Genomic DNA, 26812 nt, shown 5'->3' with positions numbered 1-26812 from the left:
AAATCTGAAGAGAGATAAGAACTAAAGCAGGAGCCTCTGACTTTATTCTGATTTGGCTTAATTGGTTTGGCTTCGCCCACATGAGTATACCTGAATTATCACACTTGTCAAATGATTGGCCAGTTGTAGATGTGGTTGAGATTAAGCTTGCTCAAGCCAGGTGAATTGAGGAGAGAGTTTTCCCCAAAGGAAATTTATCAGCTGAAGGGGAATGAATGCTTGGTAGGCAGTGACTGTGTCCATGCATATATGTGTTACCTTTTAGCTTTGAGCTGCAGTCATCACTGTGCCCAATGGTTGTGTAGAGCCTAACATTAGAAAGATCTAACCTACCTACCCACCTGCCTCCTTTTTATATACTTTGTTGAATTTCCTGGGGTTACAGGGCTCTATTCTCACATGGAACTTTCTGTATTTCTTTTTGGTTTTAGCTGTTCTAGACCTTCCATACTGTTTAAAAAATTTATTAAATGCCTATTCTATTGTAGAGATTGGGGGGAAAAAAAAACCAAAGTGTTTTCCCTATTCTCATACACCGTTAAGTACAATACTTCTAACACCAGATGTGTGGAGGTTTCTCCTCACATACCAAGCAATTCTCCAGCAGACATCAGCTGGATGTCCTTTAACAATTAGAGTTCCAGTCTGTGGCCCGTTAGGAACCCGGCTGCACAGCTGGAGGTGATTGGTGGGCAAGCAAGCATGACTGCCTGAGTTCTGCCTCCTGTCGGATCAGTGGCAGCATGAGATTCTTGTAGGAGTGCGTACTCTATTGTGAACTGCACATTTGAGGGATCTAGGTCATGCACTCTGTATGAGAATCTAATGCCTGATGATCTGAGGTGGAACAGTTTCATCTGAAACCATCCCACTCCCTGACCCTTCAGTGAAAAAAATTGTCTTCCACAGCACCAGTCCCTGATGCAGAAAGGTTGGGGACCACTGCTGTAATTCAACTCCATTCTGATGCTATCTATCTATCTGGAGACAGTGTCAGATTCCACAGGTTGAGGGCTCAGTACCCTCCCATCCCCTTCAGATGCCAACTGTCGCAAGTCCCAGGTTGTGACCTGTACTTCTGACTGTCTGGTTATAATTGGGGTTCCCTCCTTGGGTTTGATTAATTTGCTAGAATGACTCACTGAACTCAGGAAAATGCTTTACTTACATTTACCCATTTATTATAAAGGATATTACAAAAGATACAGATGAATGGCCAGATGGATAAGATGCTTAGTGTGAGGTTTGTAGGAAGGTACACAGAGCTTGTGTGCCCTCTCCAGGCTTGCCACCCTCCAGGAACCTCCATGTGATCAGCTAAATCATTCATTCATTCATTCATTCATTCATTCATTCATTTTGAGATGGAGTCTCGCTCTGTCGCCCAGGCTGGATTGCAGCAGTGCAATTTCAGCTCACTGCAACCTCCGCCTCCCGGGTTCAAGCAGTTCTCCTGCCTCAGCCTCCAGAGTAGCTGGGATTATAGGTGCTTGCCACCTCGCCTAACTAATTTTTTGTATTTTTAGTAGAGACAGGGTTTTACCATGTTGGCCAGGCTGGTCTCGAACCCCTGACCTCAGGTGATCTGCCTGCCTTGGCCTACCAAAGTGCTGGGATTGCAGGCATGAGCCACCGCACCCAGCCGTGATCAGCTAAATCTCAAAGCTCTCAGAACCCAATCCATTGGGTTTTTATGAAAGCTTCAGCACATATGACTGATTAAATTATTGGCCGTTGGTGATCAGCTCCACCTTCAGTCTCCTCCCTCCCTGAGATTGGGGAGTGAGTGAAAGTTCCAACCCTCTAGTCACATAGTTGGTTCCCCTGGAAACTAACCCCCATCCTGAGACTATGCAGTAGCTCACCAAGAGGAAGAAAAGATGCTCCTATCACCCAGGAAATTCCAAGGGACATAGGAGCTGTGTCAGATGCTCCTTTTACTCAGGAAATTGCAGAGGTCTTAGGAGCTCTGTGTTGGAAGCTGGGATCAAGGACCAAATAATAGCAAAAGATTCTACTAGTAACACTATTGCTTAGGAAATTATAACAGCTAAAAAGAGCTCTAGGCCAGGAACTGTAGTCAGGAACCAAATATATATTTCATACTATATCACAATATTACCTCTGTGCTGGACACTATAGAGACTGTAAAGAGGGTTAAGCTGTGGCCCCTGAGCTCTTGAAGCTCACATTATAGTTCCTAAAATAATTGCCTGCTCTCAAAATGTTCTTTGCTTTTAAAAAATGTGATAATATAGAGAAATAAGAATTAATTTTGAATAAAGGAATGTAGCCGTTTTTTGTTGTTGTTAACTTGTAAGATTTGAGCTGGACTTTGTCAGATAAGTAGTAAGAAGAAGGGCCTTCCAGGACATAGGAATAGCTTAAGCAAGGGCACAGTTGGAAAGATTCAGAGTGGACTTGAAAGTAGAGTAAATTGGAGTGATTAGACCATAATCTTTGCGTGGACTTAAGTGGTAAAGATTCCAGTGTGGTAAACGTTAGGTAGAGATCAAACATTGGAGGCCTTTGAAAACCTGACTGAGCAGTTTGTGTATGGGTTGTTGGGTGGTAGATGTCACAGGTTTTTCAGGAGAAAAGCATAATCAAATCCAAGTTTAAGAGAATAACTCAAGTAGGATAGATTTAAGAGTGAAGCAGGAAAATTTGTCAGAAAGGTGGTTATGGTTGTTTGGAAGAAATACTCAGGGCCTGAATTAAGAGACTAGTAAAAGAGATGGAGACAAAGGACATTAGAGGAATAAATAGAATATGTAGCATTTGGAGTGGGTAAAAGGGGCTGAAATGATTCTAGAATTTGGGGCATAGGCAGTTGATCCTGTACGGATCACATATTTTAAGAAAAGAAGATAATTATATTTATATTTCAGATACTTGTTGAACCTATATGACAAGATGTCTGGCTGACAACTAACTCTATAAAAGCTGTCCTGCATTTTGAAGGAAATAATAGAAAAATATAGGGTGTGTATTTTAAGAAAGTGTATAACATAAGAGACGGCTCAGAGAGAAATGGCACTAGGACATAAATTTAAATGAAAAATACCTAACTTAACTAGATCAGAGTTTATAGTCTTGGCTATAATGTCATACGGATGTCAGTTTTATGTAGGAGGGTCACATTTTTGTGTCTGTCAGAATTATTTTTTATCTGATTGTTAAAACGATGTGGGAAAATAAAATATTGGAGGTAAAAAGAACCACTGATAGTTTTATAGCTTAGAAATAACATTCACAGGCTAGGCGCAGTGGCACACGCCTGTAATCCCAGCACTTTGGGAGGCTAAGGCAAGAGGATTGCTTAAGCTCAGGAGTTCAAATCCAGGACCAGCCTGGGCAACATAGTAGGACCCCAGCTTTATAAAAAAATTTAAAAAATTAGCCGGGTATGGTGGCACACACCTGTAGTCCCAGCTGCTCCAGAGGCTGAGGTGGGAAGATTGCTTGCGCCTGGGAGGTCGAGGCTACAGTGAGCTGTGATTGCACTACTGCACTCCAGCCTGGGTGACAGAGTGAGACCCTGTCTCCCAAAATAACAAAAAACCACAAACACTCACTAGTGTGTTTAGCCATACATGTGTATTTTTATATATTATGTAAACACATAGTAGCTGATATTTTTTGACCTCTTATGTTGGGCGTGATTCTAAGCATTTTACATTTATTAGCTCATTTAACTTGAGCTAATTGAAGAATGATCTTTTAAGGTAGGTACTATTATCCCCACCTTATAGATGGGGAAACTGAAGCATGAAAGGTTAAGATTTTAACTGCACAATTAGGAGAGGGTAAAGCCAGGAAGTCTTGTTTTCTAGTCTTTGGTCTTGGAACTATCCTGTTATTATATCTCTCACATGCTAAGCTGACGTAGTTATCCTTTCTGATTAGCATTCTCTCTCAGTGCAGAAACCAAAGAGTTTCATATGATTTGTTAAATGATTTCTTTCTTTTTCTTTTTTTCTGTCAGGAAGAACCTTCATTTAAAAAAAGATTTCTTTTTTATTTAATTCTTGCTACTTACTAACCAATATTCAGGAACCAATTAGATTCAAATAATGCACTATCTCTTACTGTCTAGACTCTTACTCTGTAATTGAATTCAGAGTACATAGTGGTACTTACATACACACATGGACATACATATATTTAATGAAATTATTTTATTTAGTTTTTTGAGACAGGATCTCACTCTGTCACCCATGTTGGAGTGCAGTAGTACGATCACAGCTCACTGCAGCCTCAAACTTCCTGGGTTCAGGTGATCCTCCCAACTCAGCCTCCTAAGTAGCTGGGACCACAGGTGCACACCACTATACCTGGCTAATTTTTGTATTTTTTTTTGTAGAGGTGGGGTTTCACCATGTTGCCCAGGTTGGTCTTGAACTCCTGGGCTTAGTCCTCCCACCTTGGCCTCCCAAGTAGCTGTGACTACAGGAGTGTTCGTTCCACCATGCCCAGCTAATTTTTTTTTTTTTTTTGCATTTTTTTTTTGTAGAGACGGGTTTCACCATGTTGCCCAGGCTGGTCTTGAACTCCTGGTCTCAAACATTCTAACTGCCTTAGCCACCCAAAGTGTTAGCATTACAGGTGTGAACCACCACGCCCAGCCAATAAAATTATTATGTAGTTTTTAAAATGTAAGAGTATTTAATCATTTACCTGGACTCATATCTACCCAATTTTTGTCTAATTTAAGCCTGTGTTGTGCCTGCATATGAATGTTGTATATAATTTTTATCTTCGGATATAGTTGGAAACATTAGCTTATTTGCCTCAAAGAGATGACAGGAATTCAGAAAATATTGCTGGTTCTGCTACTGAATCCTATAGTAACAAAAATTAGTGCAATTAAGTTGCAACATTGCATATCAGAAGTTTTAATTTCTGTTTGCTTAAATGGTAATGATTAATCCTAATTGGATGCCTACATTTTCAGAAAGATGTGCCGGATGGGGTGAAAGAGCTGTCAGAAGGTTCAGAAGAAAGCAGTGATGGTCAGTCAGATTCCCAGAGTTCTGAGAACAGCAGCAGCAGCAGTGATGGTGGCAGCAACAAGGAGGGAAAAAAGAGCAGGTGGAAAAGGAAAGGTAAATCCACCTGATCCTTCAATAAAGTACTAAATGCTGTAGGACAAATGCCCTTGTTAGTAGTTCCTCTTTTCCCAGACTCCAGGTCAGTCAGTCACTTTCCCTTACCCTCTATAACAGTCCTGTCAAGGAGAGTTTTCTGCAATGATGGAGATGTTTATATCTTTACTGTCCAGCACAACACAGTAGCCAGTAGCTACATGGGCCTATTGAATACTTGAAATATGGTTATTATGACCAAGGAATTTAAAAAATAAAAATGCTTTCTTTTTTAGAGCTGTTTCAGGTTCACAATAAAATTGAGAGGAAGGTACAGAGATTTCCCATGTACCCCTCCCCCGCCACATGCACAGCCTTCCCCACTAGCCACATTCTCCACCAGAGTGCTATATTTGTTACAGCTGATGAACCTACATTGGCACATCATCACCCAGAGTCCATGGTTTACGTTAGAATTTACTGTTGGGAGAGTACATCCTATGGCTTTGAACAAATGTATAACGATGTGTATTCACCATTATAGTATCAAACAGAATAGTTTCATTGCCCTCAAATCTTCTGTGCTCCAGCTCTTCATCCCTTCCTGCCTCCTAACCCCTGACAACCACTGACTTTTTTTTGAGACGGAGTTCCACTCTTGTGGCCCTGGCTGGAGTGCAATGGCGTGATCTCAGCTCATTGCAACTTCTGCCTCCTGGGTTCAAGCAATTACCCTGACTCAGCCTCCTAAGTAGCTGGGATTACAGGTGCCTGCCACCAAGCCCAGCTAATTTTTGTATTTTTAGTAGAGATGGGGTTTCACCATGTTGGTCAGGCTGGTCTCGAACCCCTGACCTCAGGTGATCTACCTGCCTCGGCCTCCCAAAATGCTGGGATTACAGGCGTGAGCTACTGTGCCTGGCCTGACAACCATTGATTTTTTAATGTTTCCATAGTTTGACCTTTTCCAAAATGTCATATAGTTGGAACCTTTTCAGATTGGCTTTCCTTAAGTAATATGCATTTAAGGTTCCTCTGTGTCTTCATGGGTTGATAAGTCATTTCTTTCTTTTTTGTTTGAACTTTTAAGTTCAGGGGTACAGGTGCAGGTTTGTTCCGTAAGTAAACTTGTGCCATGGGTGTTTGTTGTGCAGACGATTTCATCACCCAGGAATTAAGCCTAGTACCCACTAGTTATTTTTCCTGATTCTCTCCCTCCTCCCCCACACCACCCTCTGAAAGGCCCCAGTGTGTGTTGTTCCCCTCTGTGTGTCATGTATTCTCATCATTTAGCTCCCACTTATAAGTGAGAACATGCGGTATTTGGTTTTCTGTTCTGGTATTCATTTGCAATAGGTCATTTCTTTCCATTGTCTGGGTGTGCCACAGTTTGTTTATACATTCACCTACTGAAGGACATCTTGGTTGCTTCCAAGTTTTGGCAATTATGAATAAAGCTGCTTTAAACATCTATGTGCAGATTTTGTATGTGCATAAGTTTTCAGCACCTTTGGGTAAATGCTAAGGAGTGTGATTGCTGGATCATATGATTAAGAGTATGTTTGGTTTTATAGAAACTTCCAGTCTACCAAAGTGACTGTATCATTTTGCATTTTGCATTTGCACCAGCAGTGGATGAGAGTTCCTGTTGCTTCATGTCCTCGTCAGCATTTAGTGTGGTTATTGTTGTGGATTTTGGCCTGATAGGTGTGTAGTAGTATCTCGTTGTTTTAATTTGCATTTCCCTAATGACATATGTTGTGGAGCACCTTTTCATTTACTTGTTTGCCATCTACATATCTTCTTTCGTGAGATGTCTCATCAGTTCTTTGACTTATTTTAAAATCAGGTTGTGTGTTTTCTTATTGTTGAGCTTTAAGAGTTCTTTGTATATTTTGAGTAACAATCCTTTATCATATGTCTTTTGCAAATATTTTCTGTGTCTTGTCTTTTTTTGTTTTGAGACATAGTCTCACACTGTTGCCCAGGCTGGAGTACAGTGGAGCGATCTCGGCTCACTGCAACCTCCGCCTTCTGGGTTCAAAGGATTCTCCTGCCTTGGCCTCCCGAGTAGCTGGGATTACAGGCGCCCGCCACCACACCCAACTAATTTTTGTATTTTTAGTAGAGGTGGGGTTTCACCATGTTGGCCAGGCTGGTCTTGAACTCCTGACCTCGTGATCCACCCGCCTTGGCCTCCCAAAGTGCTGGGATTACAGGTGTGAGCCACTGCGCCCATCCAGCCCGCCGCACCTGTCTTGTCTTTGTATTTTCTTGGCAGTTTCTTTCTCAGATCAGAAATGTTTAATGAAGTCTAGTGTATCACATTTTTTCTTTTGTGAACTGTGTCTTTGGTCTTGTATCTAAAAGTCATCATAAAACCCCTAGATTTTCTTCAATGTTATGTTATGTTCTGGGAGTTTTAGAAATTTTCATTTTTGTTTAGGTCTGTGATCCATTTTGAGTTAATTTTTTGTGAAGCGTGTGAGACCTGTATCTGGATTTCTTTTCTTTTTGACATGTGGAGTTCTAGTTAGGAATTTAATTTTGATTTTATTTTAACTTTAAATAGCCACATGAGGATAGTGGCTACCACACCAGACAACATTCTAGGTTTTACCTGGATTTGTTCTTAAGGTCTTAAGTCATCCATAGCCTTTTAGGATGCTTTTATTTTACTTGCCTAAACTTTGAGCACTTAATGCTCTAACAACCCTCCTTAGGAAAAGAATGCTTTTCATTTCTACTAGCAAACACTGAATTTAGTCTGCTGGTCTTTGCTCTTATTCCGTTTGGTGTCTACTTCATAACTCACCTGAAAAGCTTTCGTTAGGGAATAATGTCTGTTGCTGCAGCTTCCCTGGAATGGATTTTCCAGTTAAGGATATGAATTATTGCCTAATTACTGCTAATTATTCTGTAGCTTCTTGTCAGAGTCTATTCAAAGAGGGCAAATCTTGTTTATCCCAATATTTATAATTTAGCTGTACATGGCAAGGCAAATTTTAAACCAACTCTTGATGATTCCTTTACAAGGACTGACATGTTCCAGAGCAAAACAGACATTCAAGATTTTTTCTAGCTTGAATATCCTTTTAGATTTGAGTGATGATAGGTGAGTTGTCTTTGGAGCTAGAAGCTCAGGTTATGTTGGAATACTAGACTCATTCATTTAAGTCCCTTCAGAATGGTTACTATGCCTATATTAGAAAAATAGTTATAATTCACTACCATCCCTCTGTTAATGTTTTTGCTACTCCTGGAGAGAATTGAGATAATTGATGGCCTCATCTGTTCTCTGCTATAGCTACTACATACATAATTTGAGCGAACTTTGTAATCAGAGAATCTTAGCTTTAAGTTGATAACCACTTAGAGAGCTACCCAGACCTCAATTGTTAGGAATAAATGGAATGAAAGCAAGACAAAGAGGGTGCTTCTGACTAGTTAATTGTTGATGTGTGGTTTTAAATTAATCCCTGTCAGTAGTGAAAAGAGGTGTAGTCCAGGGCCCTCCATTCCCTGGGGTCCACTAAGCACGTATTTTTGAAAAAGTGAAGCCAAAAGTGTAAAGGGCTGTCTCTATCCCCTGCTTCTCCTCATTTTATTTTTTTTTATTTTAATTTTTTCGCTTCTTTTCACAAGTGTTGATTCTCCTCATTTTAAGCTTTTCCTTTTAAGTTTGGAATTGTAGATCTAAGATTAGGAGCCAAGCCAGGTCATCAAGTAAGGGAAGCAATTAGCAAGATTCATGTTTTCTGGATGGGATTGGGACAGGGAAATCAATATTAAAGAAAGTCTTGTAAAATGGGAATATACTTGGGGCCCTTGCTTTTCAAGAGCCACATATGCTGCTCTTTGAATAGTGGCTGTTGTATCTGTGTTTCTTTTGCTTATAACTAACGGTTATTAATGGCTGTCTCTAAGAATTTGAGGTGAATGTGTTAAGATGTAGGAAGATCCAAGAATTAACCATAGAACCCTATTGTCAGTAGCCGAATAGGTAGATATGAATAACATAACCTTGCTCCACACTCTGCATAATAATAGAAGACATGAACAATAAGGTAATATCAAATTGAATATTGGGTCCAATTGTTTTTGAGCTGCTTTTCATTTATTCCTTTTCTAGAAATTATTATAATATTGATTATTTGTCCTCAGTTTACAGTAAGATGAGATGCTCTATAAAGCTCTTTTCTGGTTGCAGGTAGTCTATAATAAAGCCTAGAGGAAAATGGGCGGTGTGTGGTATCTAGAAGGTGAGGTGAGAGGTGCGCATGATGTCACATGTGATTCATGTTTAAGCAGCTCTGATATTCTCAAGAAATGAATGCCAAGCTACCAATTATGAAGAATGATTTAGTCTCTCATAGAATATGCATCTGTCTTTCATGGGTCATACATGTGATATAGATACCATATAATTTGTAGGTATATATTATATATTTGTGGATGTTTTTGTAGTCCAGTGCAAATTAAAGTGACAGACATGTAGCCAGCAGTGAGTATACAGCAAAGCAGTTCTAAATCTTAGTTATCAATAAAGGTAAAGCAAGCTAATTGTGCCTATTACTTTTTCTTATTTCGGGCCTTTACTCTCAATCTGACATCACTTTATTTCAAATGCATTGTAAGACAGGAAGAACACTGAGATAGTATCAAAACCCACTTCCTTTTATGTACAAAAATAAAGAGCTCTGACAGCAAAACTGATACTTCTAGTTGAAAATCGATAGAAACTTTCTTGATATATGTATACCTTTCAGCCAAATAGGAACAGAGAATAGAACTTTGAAATTCAGTCCAATATTAAAACTAGTTTATTGATTTCTGTGTAAAGTGGAAGACTTAAAAGTTTGTAGTTTTGGTTGCTAGTTTTCAGACAGGATACACAATGTTCAGAGAAGAGTTTTATGGAATTCCAAATAAAGGTAAGGTGGAATAATAACTTCAGAAAAATGAATACGAAAATCACTATTTATATTGCTTTTTTATGATCATAGCTAAGTGAAGTCTCTGCCTTTTCCCCAAAATAAAATATTGCATTATGAAGCAACTGTAGGACTATTATTTTTATCTTCTGATAGAAAAAGTTTTGTTTAGATTTTGGTCTGCTTTTAAAGTGTCTTAAGAATGAAATTAATTACATAAAGTATACCTTTTCTCTGTAAGGAATCACTGTTTCCTCTAGTGTGAACTAATGTTAATTTTACTGCTTGTTCAGAACTACTTTAAATCAGGAATTTGATATATATTGTGTCTGGAGTTATTTAAAATACCATAAACCTATCTACCTTCTAACATTTACATGTGTGTTAAGTTACTGAATGGGTATGATTATGTCTCCTTTTAAAAGTATACTGGAGGCAAAACTTTTTTTGGCAAGTTAACTTAGATGGAGAGAGACCTTTAGGAGATTTTCTCTTTTCCTCTGAGGTTATTATTGGTGGCTGAATTGGAGGTTTTAGCACTGTGTTGTGTTAAAGATGGCTACACTGTTAGGGCTTTGGATAGTTAGACTACCCAGAAGCAAGGAAAGTGTTGAGGTGTGGCCTTTCCCATTTAGGCCAGGGGACTCTGAATATAATCAGGAAACACCGCCTGCCTAGTTTGGAGTAGATTGCACTTGGTGTTGGAGGAAGGGACTTAGAACTAAAAAGGATCCATTACCTCTAAAGAAAGACCTGTTAGAATAAAAACTCTCCCTCAAGAGAAACATAACTGTTTCTAAAGATCAAAATCATTTCGGAAACTTCGATTATTATCAGTGCTTCAACAATCAATTCTTCAACTATATATAGTTCTTAAGTTTCAATTTTGTTACCAATCCTTCAGTGTCTGATCTCTCCCTAATACTTCATAGGGGCCCATTAAATGTCTTTGGGAGAAAATAAAAATTTAAGTCAGAGATTATTTACTTAAGCTTTTAACTCAAATGCATCTACTATTAATAGTCTGTATCTTTTTGACCTTGTTCGACATTATAATCATCCATTGAAATGGAAAATTCTCAATGCTGTAATAATGTATGTATGTACCTTTTGACTTAAACTCAGTGAGCAGTATGTAAATATCCAGCAACGAGAAGCTACTGCAGTGAACTATGTAAAACTGACTGATAAGCCTCAAGTTCCAAAATTTGTTTTGTTATATTTATTTTATTTATTTTTTGAGACAGAAACTTGCTCTGTCACCCAGGCTGGAGTGCAGTGGCATGATCTCAGATCACTGCAACCTCGCCTCCCGGGTTCAAGCGATTCTCCTGCCACAGCCTCCCCAGTAGCTGGGACTACAGGCGTGCACCACCATACCAGTAGAGCCAGAATTTCTCCATGTTGGGCAGGCTGGTCTCAAACTCCTGGCCTCAAGTGATCTGCCCGCCTCAGCTTCCCAAAGTGCTGGGATTACAGGTGTGAGCCGCCACGCCCGGCCTAAAATTTGTTTTAAATGTTTTTCTGAAAACACTTAATATTAAGCTTTAAAAAAAAAAATTTATCAGCCGAGTGCGGTGGCTCACGCCTGTAATCCCAGTACTTTGGGAAGCCGAGGAGGGCAGATCACGTGAGTTAAGGAGTTCAAGACCAGCCTGGTCAACATGGTGAAACCCCTTCTCTACTAAAAATACAAAAATTAGCTGGGTGTGGTGGCGCACACCTGTAATCCCAGCTACTCGGGAGGCTGAGGCAAGAGAATCACTTGAACCCAGGAGGCCTCGGAGGCTGCAGTGAGCCAAGATCACGCCACTCCACTCTAGCCTGGGCGACAAAGTGAGACACTGTTTCAAGAAAAAAAAAGAAAAAAATTATTTACTAGATTACTCTTTGGGTTTCTTTTATGTAATGATTTTTGTTTTTTTGTTTTTAATCAAATAATAGTAACTCGATCTTTTGATCAGAATTTGTTAATCTTTTATTTCTATATGTTTATGTAGAAGCAAGCATTTTTGTTTCTAATTAGACAAAAAAATGTGTTGTTAAGAATTGTTTTAATCTGTTGAGCAGTCCACATTGGAGGATAAAGTTATAATCCTAAAAAGTGTTGTTTAAGCCATTAGTTTATTGATAACAACCAAAGTAATATCTCCGTTTAAACTACTTGTTAGGCAGGCTGTGGTGGCTCACACCTATAATCCCAGCACTTTGGGAGGCCAAGGTGGGAGGATCACTTGAGCCCAGGAGTTTGAGGCCAGCCTGGGCAATATAGTGAGACTCCTGTCTCTACAAAAAATAAAAAGTAAAATTAGCCGAATGTGGTGGTGTGTGCCTGTAGTCCCAGCTACTTGGTAGACTGAGGCAGGAGGATTGCTTGAGCCCGGGAGTTCAAGGCTACAGTGTTCTATAATGGGACCACTGCATTCCAGCCTAGGTGACAGAGCGAGACCCTGTCTCAAGAAATGAATGAATAAACAAGCAAAGAAACTACTTGTTACACTCATGCCTTCTCCAGTCTGTATTATTTGCCAGGTATTTGGGAAACAAATTTGAATGAGGTGTCAACCCCACCCTTAAAGTTGTCTCAGCATATCTAGAGGGATAGAAAAATAAGTAGATAATTAGCACATGACTTCATAAATCACATGTGTTTATATTTATCATGTTATGACAGCATTAGAGAAGGGATACTAAGTTAACTTTGCCTGGGTTACTAAGTATTAGCTATAAAAGTTCTAAGATACTATTCTTCTCTGGAGAGTTTAATCACTAGGGAAGACAGGATGTGTTATGGAAAGAAAACATATATAAAGGCAAGAAGATGAGAATGTATATAGTGTTTTCAGGAAGCCGTAAGAAGATAAATGTGGCTGGGAGAGGGGATTTGTGGAGGGAAAGAAATTTGGATCATATGGTTAACCTTTAGTGATAGTCTTATTATTTACAAGATATTTGTTGTACAAAGTTCCTTTTTTTTTTTTTTTGAGACGGAGTCTTGCTCTTGTCGCCCAGGCTGGAGTGCAATGGCATGATCTCGGCTCACTGCAACCTCCCCATCGTGGGTTCAAGCTATTCTCCTGCCTCAGCCTCCTGAGTAGCTGGGATTATAGGCGCCCGCCACCACACCTGGCTAATTTTTATATTTTTAGTAGAGACGGGGTTTTGCCATGTTGGCCAGACTGGTCTCGAACTCCTGACCTTGTGATCTGCTTGCCTCGGGCTCCCAAAGGGCTGGGATTACAGGTGTAGGCCTCCACGCCCGGCCTCACAAAGTTTCTTAGGAAAATTAAGGTATAGATAAGAGAGAGAATGGAGACACTGATGACTCTTCCAAATTTTCATAGCCAGACACCAGGAAGATCAAGACTGTTTATAGGCTGGGTGTGGTGGCTCACACCTGTAATCCCATTACTTTGGGAGGCCGAGGCAGGAGTATGACTTGAGCCCCGTAGTTCAAGACCACCTTGGGCAACATGGTGAGACCTTGTCTCTAAATAAAAAACAGCTGGTTTTGGTGGTGCACACCCGTAGTCCCAGCACTTTGGGAGGCCAAGGTGGGAGGATCACTTAAGCCTAGAAGTTTGAGACCACAGTGAGCTATGATGATGCCACTGTATTCCAGCCTGAGTGACAGAGAGAGACCCTGTCTCAAAAAAAAAAAAAAAAAAAAAGACAAAAAACTGTTTATTGACTCTTTTTTTGTTTGTTTCATATTTTTGTTCATTAAGTTTCTGAGTTAATAAACTAGCGTCTTTTGTTTTTCTGCTCACTAGTGTTTAAGTTAGCTCTGTTTCTCATCACTGGTATATAAGCTAAAATTTATTTTTGTTTTGCTTTTGAAAACCATTTGTTGTAGGTAGAATACTTCCTTGGTGTAGGATGACGTTAATTGGTGACATTAATTGGTTTCATTTGAAGTAAAACTGGTAATAGAGAAGTATAAGGGATTATTTTTCTATAAGTACCACTTTGTGAGAAAAGACTATAAACAGGGTCTTGATATAGTTAAAATAAAGCTTTAATTTTTTTCCTTTTTTTATGTTTTTTTTTAACCAAGGTCTTATTTTTAATAGTTCTGTTTTTGTTTTTTTTTTTAAGATGTAGTCCTAGGAAACCTTGCTCATGCGCTTCTCACACCCCCCCCACCCCCACCCCGCAACTGCGACTCATATCACCACCACCTCAGTTAGCTAGTTTATTCTCAAATTATTCATCATCAAGGACCAATTTTTTTCCTCTAGTCCATTGTGGACTCAGAATGACCCAGCAATGTCAAATTTCTATGAAAGTACCTAAATGTTCTTGCTTTCATGCTTATCTTGTCACAGACCAGTCTGTGGACATTTGAACAGCAATAGTTTAGATGATTTTTCAGCTTTACTTTAAAAAAGGGGGAGAGGGTGCCAAATTTTATCTTTAAAGGAGAAACTATATGAAATGATCTTGTCCCTTTTTTAAAAAATTCAGAACAGAAAATAACCCCCATCTCCCTAGTAAATAATTAACTATTACGATGCTTCATCAGCATTGTGAAAACATCCTGTCATCTCCAAATCGCTACTGGTCCTTTCTCAAAAGTAACCACCGTCCTGATTTCTGTCAGTTTGGGTCACTTGCCTATTTTTAAAATTTTAAATTAGATTATAATATATATGGATGAAGTACTATTTCTCTGAAATGCTTGGAACCAGAAGTGTTTTGGAGTTTGGATTTTTTCAGATTTTGAAACATTTGCATTATTTGGGTTGGGCATCCCAAATTCAGAAAGTTCAAAATCCAGAATGCTCCAATGAACATTTCCTTTGAGCATCGTGTTGGCACTCAAAAATTTTCTGATTTTGGGCATTTCATGTTTTCTGATTTGGAATGATCAGCTTGTATTCATTAAAGTACACGTAAGTATACAGCTTGTTGGATTTTCACAAACAGAACAGTACTATGAACTATCAACCAGATTAAGGAGCAAAATATTGCCCTAGTATCTCTCCCTGAGCTCTCTTCTGGTCACACCCATTGCTCCAAAATAACCACTCTAACAACTTCCAATAGCATAAACAAGACATGTCTAGAACAGAATAATGTCCAGAGAAATTTTTAAACTTACATAATCAAGTCATACTTAAATAATTTTTTGCTATTACATTATTTGCATGTGTGTAAGAATCATTCACCTTCTGGTGTGTAGAAATACATCAGATTCTTAAAACTATATAGAGTGGTTATTTTGGGGCAATGGGTATGACCAGAAGGGAGCTCAGAAAAACCCATAGCATTAATAAAAAAAATTGAACTGCAGAAAATGCAGTAATATATTTTTTAAAAAGTCAGTAGAACTAAAATGGATCTATAGATTCAATGGAATCCTAACCAAAATCATAGTAGGTTGATGGGAGAGGGGACATGTGGAAACTGACAAGCTGCTTCTAAAATTTACATGAAGATGAGATCAATCAGAAAAGCCAAGAAAATATTAAAGAACAAAATGGAAAGAATTAAACTATTAAATATCAGGATTAATCATAAAGCTAGGTAATTTTCTAAAGAAAAAAACATACTGGGTACATTAAGAAGTTGCATTCATCAAAACGTAACTTTAAGAGAGTGAAAAGGCAAGCCACAGAGAAGTTATTTGGAATAAATATATGCAACAAAGGAATATATGAGGAACTCCTACAAGTTAGTAAGAAAAAGAGAATTCATAGAAAAATGGGCAAAGACTAGAACAAGCATTGCACAAAGAAGATATCAAAATGATTAATAATGAAAAGGAGTCCAATTCCGTTAGTGACCACAGAAAGGCAACTTATAACCACATGCGATACTATTACACACCCACCAAAGTCCAAAATTAAAAAGACTGATGGTACCAACTGCTAGTGATCATGTGAAATAACGGGATTCTTATACACTGGTGGTAAGAATTTAAACTAGTACAACTAGTACAACTACTTTGGAAAACTGCTTGTCTGTCCATAGTATAGCTAATTCTACTCTGGTGTATATACCCAACAGAAAGGAGTACAAAAAGAAATTTTTTTAAAAAGTAGAATTAATTGTAATAGGCAAAAAATAAAAATAACCTAAATGTTCATCAAAGATAGGATAAATGAATTTGGGTACTGGTGGATGTTTATGCAATGAAAATACTATATACACACAGAGAGGAAACTGTCTTCCTGTATATGCATGTGCGTGTGCACATTTTAATGATAACTTTATTCTTTTATCTTTTACATTTAGATCTATAAACCATGTGGAATTTTTTTGTATTATGTGAGATGAGGATCATCATTTTATTCCTTTCACCCCGTAGGGATATCTTAATTACCTAGCACCCTTTTTTGAAGACTTCTTTCATTTACTTTATTGCAGTGTTCTCTGTCATAAGTCAATTGACCATATAGTTATGGTTTGGTTTCTGGACTTTGCTTTGTTCTGTTGTGTTTTGTCTTTCCTTGTAACAGTACCACCCTGTTTTAATTACTTTAGCTTTATTATTAATCCTGATATCTAATAGTTTAATTCTTTCCATTTTGTTCTTTAATATTTTCTTGGCTTTTCTGACTGATCTCATCTTCATGTAAATTTTAGAAGCAGCTTGTTAGTTTCCACATGTCCCCTCTCCCCTCAACCTGCTATGATTTTGGTTAGGATTGCATTGAATCTATAGATCAGTTTTAGTTCTATTGACTTTTTAAAAACTATATTACTGCATTTTCTGCAGTTCAGTTTTGTTCATTAATGCTATGGATTTTTCTGTCTTACAGGTCTTTGCACACTTCTTATCAGATTTATTCCTTGACATTTTTTATTCTGTTGTGAATGGCTTTAACTTTTTTTACTTTATAATTGTGTGTTGCTGATATATAGAAATACAGTTTTTATAAATTGACTGTGTCTTTGAAGTGTCTAGGATTTTACCTGATTTGTAAGTAAACAAAGCGATTAGCCTCTCATGGATTTTAACAGAAGAAACAAGAATCCTGGGTCATAGAAAAAGTACTGTATTACCCATGATAGAGTAAGCAATATGGCTACCAGCATACTTTTCGTGTCAGCTTTCCCTTACCCCAAGACTCACAGGTGATGAGATACAGGCCCAGGTGTATCCTATTCCTGCAGTGGGTTTGCATCTCAGCCAAGAAACATTAGTTTGAGGGATTCACTGCTTTTAGCAGAAGCAAGCATATTTTGCCTGGGAAGAGACATTGCCTCATCTCATGGTTGCTCTGCAACTGCAAACATAACCCTGAAAGATGGCTCAGGTAAAGAGTGTTCTGGGACTTAAAACATTGTTTGCATTCCTCGTGTGTATACACAACAGCACTCGGGGCCTGTGGTGGATTTCCTCTCTGAATATTGACACTGGATGTAACAACATTGCAAAATTAATTTTTAAAATATATTAGTTTATACATAGTTTTATGATTGTCTACTTATACAAATATGTAATTTATGAATAATGGCAATTTTCTTTTTCTTTTTTTTTTTTGCCATTTTGTACCAGCCAGGACTTACAGAAAATAGTGGAACAGACATGGTACTATCAATTATCCTTTTCATTCTCTACCTTTAAGGTAAAGCTTTTAATATTATAATTTTTGTTTGTTTGTTTTTGAGACAGGGTCTCTCTCTGTCACCTAGGCTGGAGTGCAGTGGTGTGATCTCGGCTCACTGCAACCTCCACCTCCAGGGTTCAAGCAAATTCTCATGCCTTGGCCTCCTGAGTAGCTGCGATTACAGGTGTGTGCCACCACACCCAGCTCATTTTTGTATTTTTAGTAGAGATAGGGTTTCACCATTTTGGTCAGGCTGGTCTCAAACTCCTGGCCTCAAGTGATCCACCTGCCTTAGCCTCTCAAAGTGCTGGGATTACAGGCGTGAGCCACCAATACCCAGCCTTTTAATATTATAATGTTTTAAGAATGATGTGGGCCGGGCGTGGTGGCTCACGCCTGTATTCCCAGCACTTCAGGAGGCCAAGACAGGCGTATCACAAGGTCAGGAGATCGAGACCATCCTGGCTAACACGGTGAAACCACATCTCTACTAAAAATACAAAAATTAGCCGGGCGTGGTGGCATGCGCCTGTAGTCCCAGCTACCTGGGAGGCTGAGGCAGGAGAATCACTTGAACCTGGGAGGCGGAGGTTCCAGTGAGCCAAAATTGCACTACTGCACTCCAGCCTGGTGACAGAGCAAGACTCCATCTCAAAAAAAAAAAAAAAAGAATGATGTGGAGTAGTAGGTTGTTTGTAGATACTTTTTAGTAGATGAAGTTAGTTTCCTTTTATTTGTAATTTGCTAAGAGATTTTCTAATACACAGATGTTGAATTTTATCAGTTGCTTTTCCTTCATGTACATAATTCCTGTAGTGAATTATATTGATTTTACGTATTAAATGTTAAACCAACCTTGTGTTCCTTGGATAAACCAACTTGGTTGTGATATATTATTAATCATCTGTATCATAGATTTTATTTGCTCATAGTTTGCGTTTAACTCTAAGGTTTGCCTGCATGTTTTCCCCATATAATGTCCCTGTTAAAATTTGGTATCATAAAAAAGTTGGTAATTGGTTTTTGGTTCTCTGAAATAATTTGTATAAGATTGTTGTTTTTGTAGGCCAGGTGCAGTGGCTGACACCTATAATCCCAGCACTTTGGGAGGCTGAGGTGGGTGGATCACCTAAGGTTATGAATTTGAGACTCAGCCTGGCCAACATGGTGAAGTCCCATCTCTACTAAAATTACAAAAGTGAGCCAGGCGTGGTGGTGGGCACCTGTAATCCCAGCTACTTGGGAGGCTGAGGCAGGAGAATTGCTTGAACCTGGGAGGTGGAGGTTGCAGTGAGCCAAGATTGCATCATTGCACTCCAGCCAGGGGACGGAATGAGACTCTGTCTCAGAAAAAATAAAGATTGTTTTTCTTCCTTAAAAGGTTTGGGGGGTGGGCACAGTGACTCACTCCTGTAATCCCAGCACTTTGGGAAATGGAGGTGGGCCAATCACTTGAGGTCAGGAGTTTGAGACCAGCCTGGCCACCATGGTGAAACCCCATCTCTACTAAAAATAAAGAAATCGGCCTGACATGGAGGCGGGTGCCTGTAATCCCAGCTACTCCAGAGGCAAGGCACGAGAATCACTTGAAGCTGGGAGGCGCAGGTTGCAGTGAGCTGAGATTGTGCCACTGTCCTCCAGCCAGGGAGACAGAGCGAGACTCTGTCTCAAAAAATAAACAAACAAACAAATAAATAAATAAGTTTGGGAGAATTTCCTGATAGAAACCTGGGCTGAAATGTTCCTTTTTAGGGATATTTTACTTTTAATTAAATTCATCATAAATATGGTAAAACATACAGATCACAAGTCTATAATTCACCTACATGAATGGGAATATGAGTTAGAATAAATGAGAATACTTATAATTCCTTGACTTGGGGAAAAATTCTATTAGCCTGGGCAGCACTATAATAGCTTATATTCAATGAATGACAGTGTTAAGTTCACACCATCTGTATAGCTCTGGAAAATAGGCTAAATAAAAACAAGTGTTATGCTTCAAATTGTGTCCCCTTCAAAAAGATATATTGAAATCATAACCTCTGGTACACCAGAATGTGTGCTTATTGGGAAACAGAGCTGTTGTAGAGTTAATTAGTTAAGATGAAGTCATACTGTAGTAGGGTGGGTCATTAGTCCACTAAGACTAGTGTCTTTATAAGATGGGTCATATGAAGACATGGAGACATGAAGAGAGTGCCGTGTGACGATGGAGACGAGGTTGAAGTGATGCTGCTATAACCCAAGGAATGCCAAAGATTGCTGGATGTTACCAGAAACTAAGAGAAAGGGACGGAATAGCTTATCTCACAGAAGGAACCATCCTTGCTGACACATCAGTTTTGGATTTTCAGCCTCCAGAACTGTGAAGGAATAAGTGTCTTGTTTTATACCACCTAGGTTATGTACTTTTTAAAATGACAGGTCTGGGGAATTAACATAGGGAGTAAAGTTCATTCTTCATTATACAATGTATTCAGTATGTTATATTCCCATGAAATCTTTTAAAATATTGTATAGTCATCATCTCTGCTGCCATAATCTTTCTGTTAACATTTTAATTATCTTCCTTAAGTGAGACTTGCAGCCAAAGCTGAAGGAGGCTTACATATACAAGGGTTTGGTGCCACCTACTTTCTTAATTTCTTTTTTTAGTTGGGAGACAGGGTCTTACTCTGTCACCCAGGCTGGAGGCAGTGGCGTGATCACAACTCAAGTGCAGTCTCAACTTCTTAGGCTCAGGTCATCCTCCTGCCTCAGCCCCCCAAGTAGCTGGGACTACAGCACGCCACCGCACCTGGCTAACTTTATATTTATTTATTTATTTATTTATTTATTTATTTATTTATTTATTTAGAGATGGAGTTTCACTCTTTCGCCCAGGCTGGAGTGCAGTGGTGTGATCTCAGCTCACTGCAACCTCCGCCTTCCGATTTCAAGCAATTTTCCTGCCTCAGCCTCCCAAGTAGCTGGGATTACAGGCATGTGCCACCACGCCCGACTAATTTTTGTATTTGTAGTAGAGTCGGGGTTTCACCATGTTGGCCAGGCTGGTCTTGAACTCTTGACCTCGTGATCCTCCCACCTCAGCCCCACAAAGTGCTGGCATTACAGTCGTGAGCCACCGCACCCGGCCATGTATTTTTTTTTTACATAGACAAGATTTTGCCACGTTGCCCAGGCTGGTCTCGAACTCAAGTGATCCCACCCGCTTTGGCCTCCCAAAGTACTGGGATTACAGGTGTGAGCCACTGTGTCCAGTCTGGAAGGCAGTTTATAATACTGAATACCTCCTGTCAATAAGGACAAACTAAAAGAAGCAAACTACTCTAAAAATTAGAAAAAAAAGAATAATAAAGTAAACTAATAGATAGCTGAAGAAAATAATTTATAATAAAAAAAATGGTGGAAATTACTAAATTAGAAGAGAAAAATGGTAGAAAAGGTTGGTTTTTAAATGAATCAATATAATAGACAAACTTTGTTAACCTCCTTTTTTTTTTTTAAAGGAAAAAACCATGAGTATATAAATTCAGGTTGAAATTTCAAAACAATTAAAAAACCATCAGACTTTTTCACAGTACTTTGTAGATGAAATGGGATACTTTTCTAGGAAAATACAGTACACAAAAATTGAACCCAGTAGAGATAGAAAGTATAAATAGAGTTTCATAGAAGTAGACCTGTGTTAGAACTCCCCTTCAAAAGAACACTGTACCCACATGTTCAGAGAAATTCAATCATATTTTTATTTTTTAATTTTTATTTATTTATTTATTTTGAGACAGAGTCTCATTCTGTCCCCCAGGCTGGAGTGCAGTGGTACGATCTTGGCTCACTGCAGCCTCCGCCTCCTGGATTCAAGCGATTCTCCTGCCTCAGCCTGCCGAGTGGCTGGGATTACAGGTGTGCACCACCATGCCCGGCTAATTTTTTGTATTTTTAGTAGATATGGGGTTTCACCATGTTGGCCAGGTTGGTCTCAAGCTCCTGACCTCAAGTGATCCGCCCACCTTGGCTTCCCAAAGTGCTGGGGTTACAGGCGTGAGCCACCATGCCCAGCCAGAATGCAACCATATGTTTAAAGATAATAATCTTAATGTTTTAAACACTGTTACAGAGCTAGAATAAAAAACATAACTTCTATGCTTGCTGAAAAGGTCTTTGAATAAATTTTATGCTCAATAAAATTGAGAATTGGTGGATTTCTCTTTAACGTTATAACTGAGTTGAGAAACCAGTGTCTTAAGGGGGAACACTAGTGGCTTATCCTTTAGCCAGAATGAGTCAAGAACAAGATGTCCACTATCTCCATTCTTATTTAACATTATGTTAGAGGTGTTTTGTTTTGTTTTGTTTTTTCTGAGATGGAGTCTTCCTCTGTTGCCCAGGCTAGAGAGCAGTGGCACTGTCTCGGCTCACTGCAACCTCCATCTCCTGGGTTCAAGCAATTCTCCTGCCTCAGCTTCCTGAGTAGTTGGGATTACAGGCGCATGTCACCACGCCCGGCTAATTTTCTATATTTTTAGTAGAGATGGGGCTTCACCATGTTGGCCTGGCTGGTCTGAAACTCCTGACCTCAGATGATCCACCCATCTCAGCCTCCCAAAGTGCTGGGATTACAGGCATGAGCCACCGCGCCTGGCCTAGAGTTGTTTATATCAACACAGGTAAGCAAGAGAAAGCAGTTTGAGTAACCGGCGACAAGAATCAGAAAGGATTAGGTAAAACTACTTTGTTTTTTCAGATGATACGATTTTGCGTCTGACAAACACAAAAGAATCAGTGGAGATAAATATTGATTAAAAAGAACTGTTGGCCCATGCTTGTAGTCCCAGCACTTCGGGAGGGTAGGGCAGGAGGATCACTTGAGGCCAGGAGTTTGAGACCAACCTGGACAAACATAGCGAGACTCTGTCTCTACAAAAAAAAAAAAAAAAAAAGAAAAAAGCCCGGGCGGTGGCTCACGCCTGTTATCCTAGCACTTTGGGAGGCCAAAGAGGGCAGATCACGAGGTCAGGAGTTCAAGAACAGCCTGGCCGATATGGCAAAACCCCGTCTCTACTAAAAATAAATAGCTGGGCATGGTGGCACGCGCCTGTAGTCCCAGCTGCTCGGGAGGCTGAAGCAGAAGAATCGCTTGAACCCAGGAGGCGGAGGCTGCGTGAGCCGAGATAGTGCCACTGCACTCCAGCCTAGGCAACAGAGCAATGACTCTGTCTCAAAAAAAAAAAAAAAAGCCAGGTGTGTACCTGTAGTCCCAGCTACTTAGGAGACAGGGGGATACCTTGAGCCCAGGAATTCAAGGCTGGGTGACAGAGTGAGACCCTGTGTCTTAAAAAAAAAAAAAAAAGAATTTGAGATTGTAAATAAATAGATGTAAATAAAATTAATATGTAATAATCAGCCACCATGTACATAAATAATAATGAAAAAGAATATATTTGCGGTAACAACATCAACAACAAAAAAATTCTGAGCATCACTGTTTTTTTTCTTTTCTTTTCTTTTTGAGACAGTTTTGCTCTCGTTGCCCAGGCTGGAGTGCAGTAGCACCATCACGGCTCACTGCAACCTCTGCCTCTCGGGTTCAAACGATTCTCCTCCTGCGACCTCCCAAAGTGTTGGGATTACAGGCGTGAGCCACCGTGCCTGGCCAAGCATTACTTTTTTAAGATATGTGCAAAATGTTGAAACAACTCAATACCCAAAAAGATAAAATTGCATTCATTTCTCACACTCCAGGACAAATTCCAAAGAAATTAAAGTTATAATAAATGTAAAATATGAAACCAAGTACTACAGGAAAACATGGGTGAATTAATTTCTTTTCTTTTTTTTTTTTTTTTTGGAGATGGAGTGCAGTGGCATGATCTCGGCTCACTGTAAGCTCCTCCTTCTGGGTTCACACCATTCTCCTGCCTCAGCTTCCCAAGTAGCTGGGACTACAGGCGTCCGCCACCACCTCAGGCTATTTTGTATTTTTAGTAGAGACGGGGTTTCACCGTGTTAGCTAGGATGGTCTCGATCTCCTGACCTCGTGATCCGCCCACCTCGGCCTCCCAAAGTGCTGGGACTACAGGCATGAGCCACCACGCCCGGCCAAACATGGGTGAATTTCTTTTAAAACCTGAAAATAAAGAATTTTTTTTCTCTGATGCTTCTTGAAGTGTACATGTTTATCTTTTAGTCTGGCAAACTCACTTCTAAGAATTAACCTCAGAGATAAGCTGTCAAAAATACAAAATGGCAGAGATTAAGAACAATGATTCTCAGACTCGAGCTTGCGTCAGAATCACCTACAGGACGTATGGTGCAGATTCCTGGGCCTCACTTCAGAGTATCTGATTCAGTAGATCTGGGCTTCCACCCAATAATTTTCATTTCTAATAGATTTTTAGGTAGTAATGATGTTGTTCTGGGTACCACATCTTAGAACCACTGGTTAAGATGTAGTCATGAGAACAAAAGACCAGAAACAACCCAAAAAAATACCCATCAACAAAATCTGGTGGAAGAAATCACGATCGATATACACAATGGAATTCTATGCAACTATTAAAAGGAATGCAGAAGAGTTCCATGTTCTGTTCTAGGATATCCTCCAGGATGCATTGAGTTTTTTCACTTAAATCAAAGTGGCTCCCGCCTGGGCAACAGAGTAAGACCTTGTCTTAAAAAAAAAAAAAAAATCAAAGTGCTAGACAGTTGGTGGTATATGATCTTTTGTTTAAAGAAATAAGTAAAATTATTAAAATGGGCCAGGCATGTTGGCTCATGCCTGTAATCCCAGCAGTTTGGAAGGCCAGTGTGGGCAAATCACCTGAGATCAGGATGGCCAACATGGTGAAACCCCATCTCTACTAAAAATACAATTAGCTGGGCATGGTGGTGGGCACCTGTAATCCCAGCTACTCAGGAGGCTGAGGCAGGAGAATTGCTTGAACCTGGGAGGCAGAGGTTGCAGCAAGCCAAGATCGTGCCATTGCACTCCAGCCTTGGCAACAAGAACAAAACTGTCTTAAAAAGGAAAAAAAAAGTATTAAAACATATATACTGTTGTATTTTCACAAAATGAAAAATATGAATAAAAATGAAAGGACAAACAAGAACCTATTAAAATGATTTTCTATAGAGTAATATAGTTAAGGAAGAGAGCTAGACTTATATGAAAGTAATATGTTTTGTAACGTTACATAATTTAAAATTTTTAATGTACTTCCTAGAAATAAGAAAGCAAACAAGTATGTCAAATTTGTGGCATAATGACGTAGACAAGTTATTGTGAGATGTAGCTTAGGTATGGGAGACAAGACATAAACCCTTTTCCCCCCTTTTTACAGATGTTGAAGGAGACAAATCTTAAACTGCATTCAGTAGTCTTAATTTCAATAATTATATTGGTATGGTTTCTTTGAAACTATATAGTACTAAGCAAATCAATAATTATAGTAATATTATTAGGAACCAGAAATGTTAGGCGGGAAGAAACGGGATAAAAATACAAAATCAGGCTGGGCATGGTGGCTCATGTCTGTAATCCCAGCACTTTGGGAGGCTGAAGCAGGTGGATTACTTGAGATCTGGAGTTCAAGACCAGCCTGGCCAACATGGCAAAACCTCGTCTCTACTAAAAATACAAAAAATTAGGTAGGCATGGTGGTGGGCGCCTGTAATCCCAGATACTCGGGAGGCTGAGACAGGAGAATTGATTGAACCCAATCAAGTGGAGGCAGAGGTTGCAGTGAGCCAAGATCGCACCACTGCACTCCAGCCTGAGCAACAGGAGGAGACTCCATCTCAAAAAAAAAAAAAAAAAAAAAAATCAGAAAAAAGTGACAGCTCTGTGATCTTCAATTCAAATTTGGTATCCAAGCATGAATTTCATTTTCTCTTTCTAAATGATGACTTCTTTTCTTGTTCTAGCCACTGAAAAGTTCTAGAACTAGTGGTAACCTATTGACAGTGAGCACTCCTAGTGTGGTGTGCACACTGTAGTCTTTTAATACCATTTCCAATTTAAATTTAATTTCCATTTAATATCATTTCCAATTTAAAGATGTCAGAGCTTGTTGGAGAAGTAGTTGATCCAGGTCTGGGCCAAAAGTTATGTAAGATTTGCCTGGGACAACTTTCTGTGACAGGTTGTAAAAAAGCTGTCACATATGGGTGGAGCCATGTTCCCAAGACAGTTTACAACTTGAAGGAGCTCCCACTAGGTCAAAATGGGACGATTTGGGTGCTAAGTATATATTTTTAAAACATTATATGTAGTTTGAGGTACAGTATCAAATCTTTGATAATTGCATTTTATTTAAATATTTCACATATATAAATATCTGTGAGAACTTATTGGTTTTAGGTATTGTATGAGTTTTCTGAAGTTGCAGGTTATCACACAGTGAGCGGCTTAAGCAAACAAATTTATTCTCAGTTCTGAATGCCAGAAGTCTGAAAGCAAGATGTTGGCGTGTCTGCACTCCCTACAGAGGCTCTGGGGGGAATCTGCTCCTTGCTTTCTCTAACCTTTTTCTTGCTGACTTCCTTGCCTTATGAACACATTACTCCAGTCTCTGCCTCTGTCTTCACATTGCCTTCTCATCTGTATCTGTCTTCCCTTATGCATCTCTTATGAAGAGACTTGTCTTTGGCTTTAGGATCCATTTGGATAATCCAGGATGATCTTGTCTGAAGATCCTTAACTGAGTTACACCTACCAAGGCTCTTTTCCCAAATAAAGTAACATTCACAGATTCTGGAGCTTACAATGTGGACATATCTTTTTGGTTGCCACCATTATCAGCCAGCTATAGGTTACCTATTCATTACTCTGAAAATGAAGTTCAAATCTTGGCTGTGCTCCTTACTGGCTATATATCTTTTGGCAAACTAATTAAATTTCCTGATATGTAAAACTTAGATAATACCATCATAATACGCAGATGAAGATGTATCTTTGAAATTTATTTTTGTATATAAATATATATAGCCTTAAAATCTTTGTATTTTTATTTGCATAGAAAAATATCATAAGGATGCCAATCAAACTGTCTTATTTAGTTATTTCTAGAAGTATAATTTGAGGAGTTTAGGTAGGAGTAGAAAGAAAACTACCCTAAGAGAGAGTAATTATGAGAGTTCAATGAACTCCTGTTAAAATGAACTAGTACAGTGTTAGGCACATAGAAGATACTTGTCTGCTGTTATTAATAATAAAATTATATGTCTT

The 26812-nt window shown here is 39.1% G+C and overlaps 1 protein-coding gene across 3 annotated transcripts in view; it reads left to right on the top strand.

The window, feature by feature from the left end:
• The window catches only part of ASXL2 (ASXL transcriptional regulator 2), a 144735-nt gene that overhangs the window by 73995 nt on the left and 43928 nt on the right, over positions 1–26812 (top strand). For 2 of the 3 annotated variants that reach the window (NM_018263.6, NM_001369346.1), the window contains one exon: positions 4958–5108. In NM_018263.6, the coding sequence (NP_060733.4) occupies positions 4958–5108 (151 nt within the window). Of the gene's footprint in view, positions 1–4957; positions 5109–9801; positions 10022–17532; positions 17599–26812 lie in introns of those variants that run through there. The other variant, NM_001369347.1, reaches the window with a different exon arrangement.

This window comes from Homo sapiens, chromosome 2 (assembly GCF_000001405.40).
Source record: "Homo sapiens chromosome 2, GRCh38.p14 Primary Assembly".
Classification (NCBI taxonomy): domain Eukaryota; kingdom Metazoa; phylum Chordata; class Mammalia; order Primates; family Hominidae; genus Homo; species Homo sapiens.
The sequence above is the reverse complement of the archived record's forward strand: the minus strand, read 5'-3'. Positions and strand labels throughout refer to the sequence as shown.